Source organism: Homo sapiens, chromosome 14 (assembly GCF_000001405.40).
Source record: "Homo sapiens chromosome 14, GRCh38.p14 Primary Assembly".
Classification (NCBI taxonomy): Eukaryota; Metazoa; Chordata; class Mammalia; order Primates; family Hominidae; genus Homo; species Homo sapiens.
The window spans coordinates 63,741,982-63,747,265 of NC_000014.9; the positions used below are offsets into that span (position 1 = coordinate 63,741,982).

General features: G+C 43.7%; 1 annotated feature.

The window, feature by feature from the left end:
• Positions 4,101–4,530: an enhancer, noted in NCBI's record as "active region_8517". NCBI's record gives its function as "activates an Ori minimal core promoter by ATAC-STARR-seq in GM12878 lymphoblastoid cells {active_cell/tissue: GM12878}" and the evidence as "EXISTENCE:reporter gene assay evidence [ECO:0000049][PMID:35858748]".

A 5,284-nucleotide genomic window follows, 5' to 3' on the forward strand; every position in this document is an offset into this window, starting at 1 on the left:
ATATATTCAAGGTCATCTAGTAGCTAGTAGAGCCAGAACTCAGAAACTAGAGTCCACACTCATATGTAGTATGCTGTGTTGACTCCCAAGAACTCTTTCTTTAAAAAATATATATATTTTATATTTATAACTTATAATTTATATATATTTTATATTTATATTGTTAAATTATATTATGTATTTCTTTCTTTTTTTTTTTTTTTTGAGATGGAGTCTCGCTCTGTCACCCAGGCTGGAGTGCAGTGGCACGATCTCAGCTCACTGCCTCCTCCGCCTTCCGGGTTCAAGGGATTCTCCTGCCTCAGCCTCCTGAGTAGCTGGGACTACAGGCACACCCCATCACGCCTGGCTACTTTTTTGTATTTTTAGTAGAGACAGGGTTTTACCATGTTAGGCAGGATGGTCTCAATCTCTTGACCTCGTGGTCCACCCGCCTTGGCCTCCCAAAGTGCTGGGATTATAGGCGTGAGCCACCACGCCTCGCCCTTATAATTTTATAAAAATAGACAGGGTCTCACTATGCTGCCCAGGCTGGTCTCAAACCCTTGGGTTCAAGTGATACACCCGCCTTGGCCTCCCAAAGTGCTGGGATTATAGGCGTAAGCCACCACGCCTGGCCCTTATAATTTTATAAAAATAGACAGGGTCTCACTATGCTGCCCAGGCTGGTCTCAAACCCTTGGGTTCAAGTGATACACCCACCTTGGCCTCCCAAAGTGCTGGGATTGCAGGCATGAGTCACCAAGCTTGGCCAACTCCCGAGAACTCTTAAGAGTACCTGTTCGATATTTTCTATTCACTTGTAACCATTATTTTAGGAAATTCCATCTTCTGCCTTACAGCAAACAACATTCAACTGACTTCTGAGTCCTGAACTATCACATTATATTTAGTTTAGATATAATAAACATATGACATATGTTACACAAAATGTTATGTGAGGCCAAAAAGGAAATTGTTTTCCATTCATTTTAATGAAAAGAACAAATATTGGCCGGGCGTGGTGACTCACACCTGTAATCCCAGCACTTTGGGAGGCTGAGGAGGGCGGATCACAAGGTCAAGAGATCAAGACCATCCTGGCTAACACGGTGAAACCCCATCTCTACTAAAAATACAAAAAAAATTAGCCGGGCATGGTGGCGGGTGCCTATAGTCCCAGCTACTTGGGAGGCTGAGGCAGGAGAATGGCGTGAACCGGGGAGGCAGAGCTTGCAGTGAGCCGAGATTGCACCACTGCACTCCAGCCTGGGTGACAGAGAGACTCCGTCTCAAAAAAAAAAAAAAAAAAAAAAAGAACAAATATTGAATGCTTACCAAATGCAAGGTGTTAGGGTAAGGGCTAGAGAAGACACAGAGAGGAATAAGACACTGTCTTGCCCTCAAGAAGCTCATAATCAGAAGGGCAGATTAAAAATACATACGGCATACTGTAATGAAAAACAATTGTGTTAAAACTTTAAGGGAATGGGCCAGGTGCAGTGGCTCATGCCTGTAATTCCAGCATTTTGGGAGGCTGAGGTGGGAGGATCGCTTGAGCCCAGGAGTTTGAGACCAGCCTGAACAACATAGTGAGACCCTGTCTCAAAAAAAGAAAAAAAAAAAAAAGAGAGAGAGAAAGAAAAAAGCTTTAATGGAAGTACAGCCACAGTATCAGAATAATAATAGAATAATCAAAGAGATTATTTCCCAAACAGGGAAGAAATAGCATTTGTGTTGAATAGAAATTCAAAGGGGTAAATTTGGGGTGTTTTTATTGTTGTTGTTGTTTTTTGAGACAGAGTCTCACTCTGTCGCCGAGGCTGGAATGCAGTGGCACGATCTCGGCTCACTGCAACCTTCGCCTCCTGGGTTCAAGCAATTATCTTGCCTCAGCCTCCCTGTTAGCTGAGATTACAGGCACTCACCACCAAGCCCAGCTAATTTTTGTATTTCAGTAGAAACGGGGTTTCACCATGTTGGCCAGGCTGGTCTCGAACTCCTGATCTCAAGCAAACTACCCGCCTCCACCTCCCAAAGTGCTGGGATTAAAGGCATGAGCTACGGTGCCTGGCCCAGAGGGGGAAATTTTGGAAGCAAACCATTCAAGACACAGAAAAGGAGAATGAGCGAACATAGTGTTGAAGTCGTTAGAATCATTATGGGATCACTTGTCTTAAAAAACAAAACAGGCCAGGCGCGGTGGCTTAGCCTGGCCAACAGGGCAAAACCCCATCTCTACTAAAAATACAAAAATTAGCCGGGTATAGTGGCACATGCCTGTGATCCCAGCTACTTAAGAGGCTGAGGCAGGAGAATCACTTGAACCCAGGAGACAGAGGTTGCAGTGAGCTGAGATTATGCCATTGCACTCCAGCCTGGGCGACAGAGTGAGACTCTGTCTCAAAATAAAATAAATCAAAACAAAACAGCCAGGCATGATGGCTCATGCCTGTAATCCCAGCATTTTGCGGAGCCGAGGCAAATGGATGGCTTGAGCTCAGGAGTTCGAGACCAGTCTGGGCAACATGGTGAAACCCCATCTCTACCAAAATACAAAAAAATTAGCCAGACATGGTGGTGAGCATCTGTGGTCTCAGTTACTCAAGAGGCTGAGATGGGAGAATTGCTTGAGCTCAGGAGGCAGAGGTTGCAGGGAGGCGAGATCACACCACTACGCTCCAGCCTGGGTGACAGAGTGGCACCCCATCTCAAAATAAAATAAATTTAAAAAATTAAGAACAAAAACCTTTTCCAAGCACAGCTGTGTTAAAAACAAAACAAAACAAACAAACAAACAAAAAGTTTGTCTTCCTTTACCTCCTTGAATATGCATCATTTACTATGGCACATTGCAATGTCCTATTCCCAAATAAATATAATTTTTGTTTAGAGAGCCTCTGTTAATTAGGGTAACAATGGTGAGACTAGAAATAGCTAGGTAGGTTTGTAGGTTTTTAAAACAGCTGAAAGTGTTCATTAGAGAATGAAGAGATGAGGTTAAACCTCACTGTGGAAAAATTTAAAATCGATGCTACAAAATTGTACTTTATTCTTTGGCAACAGAGAGCTACAAAAAGGAACAAAAAGAGGACAAAAGAATGCTGGGATTGGAATAGTAATCTTTAGGAAGACTAATTTGCTAGTAATAAGAAAAATTAGGCCAGGTGCGGTGGCTCACCCCTGTAATCCCAACACTTTGGGAGGCCGAGGAGGGAGGATCACCTGAGGTTAGGAGTTCCAGACCAGCCTGGCCAATATGGTGAAACCCCATCTCTACTAAAAATACAAAAATTAGCCAGGCGTGGTGGCAGACGTCTGTAATCTCAGCTACTTGGGAGGCTGAGGCAGGAGAATTGCTTGAACTCAGTAGGTGAAGGTTGCAGTGAGCCGAGATCGCACCATTGCACTGTAGCCTGAGCAACAAGAAAAAAAAAGAAAGAAAGAGAAGAGAGAGAGGAGAGAGAAGAGAGAGAGAAAGAAAAAGAGAGAAAGAAAGAAAGAGAGAGGAAGGAAGGAAGGAAGGAGGGAGGGAGGAAGGGAGGAAGGAAGGAGAAATTAACTAAGATGGGAGCTGAGGAATCTAGATAGTAATGTAATGGGGAAAGATGAGGTTATTAAGGTCCTGAACAAGAGGAGTGGCAAGGGATAGGAGAGGCAGAGGTAGGGTATTCAGAAAATATCTCCTGTTAGAATAAAATAATATAAAATCAATTTTTAGAATTCTACATACAAAGATAGACTATGCCAACTAAAAACCAAATCCAACAGAATTATTATGGTGGGGAGAGGACTGCTGCAGTCCTCCCTCAGTATCCATGGGGGATTGGTTCCAGTACCCCCTCCCAACTGCCCTCATACCTTGTAATCGCCCACTGCACAGACAAAATCAATTCACTGAGACTGCAGCAGTGCAGTAGAGAAAGAATATAATTGACACAAGGCTGACCCATATGGGAAAAAACTGGAGTTACCACTCAAATCAGTCAGTCTCTCAGAAGGCTCAGAGGCTGTGGTTTTTATGGACAATTTGGTGGGCAGTGGGGGCTAGGGAATGGGTGCTGCTGACTTGTTGTGGATGAAATCATAGGTGTAAGGAACACTGTCCTCATGCACTGAGTCCACCTCTGGATAGGGCCACAGGAGCAGTTGAGTCATGAGTCACAAGTACAGGTGGGGTCCGTCTGAAAAACATCTAAAAATAAAACCAATCTGAGGTTCTACAGTAGTGATGTTATCTATAGGAGCAATTGGGGAAGTCACAAATCTTGTGACCTCTGGCCACGTGACTCCTGAGCAGCAGGGGGTTGGAAACTACGCCTACATTTTAGCAGAGTTCAAGCATAGCAGAGTTCAAGCCCCTCCCATGATCCTATTCTTGTGGCCTTTCATTAGTCTTACAAAGGTAGGTTTTGGTCCCTGAGCAAGGAGGGCGTTAGTTTTAGGGGAAGGATTACTACTGTCCTTGCTTTCAAGTTAAAGTATAAACCAAATTCTTCTCGAAGTTAGCTTGGCCCATGTCCAGGAGGCGACCTTGGTGTCAGAAGCAAGATTGAGTCGACTATGTCAGATTTCTCTTACTGTCATAGTTTTGAAAAAGTTGGTTTCACACTAAAAGCTGCAGATGCTGAAGTCTGTGATATAAAATGGTGTAGTATTCACATATAACTTACACACATCCTCATGTACTTTAAACCATTGCTCGTTTACTATAATGCCGAATACAATGGAAATGCTATGAAAATAGCTGTTAGTTTTTTGTTTGTTTGCTTGTTTATTTGTTTTTGAGATGGAGTCTTGCTTTTTTGCCCAGGCTGGAGGGCAGTGGCATGGTCTTGGCTCACTGCAACCTCCACCTCCTGGGTTCAAGTGATTCTCCTGCCTCAGCCTCCTGAGTAGCTGGGATTACAGGCGTGCCACCACACCCAGCTAATTTTTTTGTATTTTTAGTTAGAGACGGGGTTTCACCATGTTGGCCAGGCTGGTCTCAAACTCCTGACCTCAGGTGATCTGCCCACCTCAGTCTCCCAAAGGGCTGGGATTACAGATGTGAGCCACTGCACCCGGGCTTGGTTTTTAAATTTGCATTATTTTTATCGCTGCATTGTTATTTTGTATTTTTTAAACATTTCTGATCCGTGTTTGGTTCAATCCCCGAATGCAGAACTCGCGGATACAAAGGGCCAACAGCATTGCAATAGAAACATGTGACCTTAAGACAGGTAAGTTTTCAAAAGTTAGGCAAAAAGGGTTTTTCTTTTAGAGAAAGAACTAGGCTAGAAAGAACCAGGTATGGGAAGGTGGG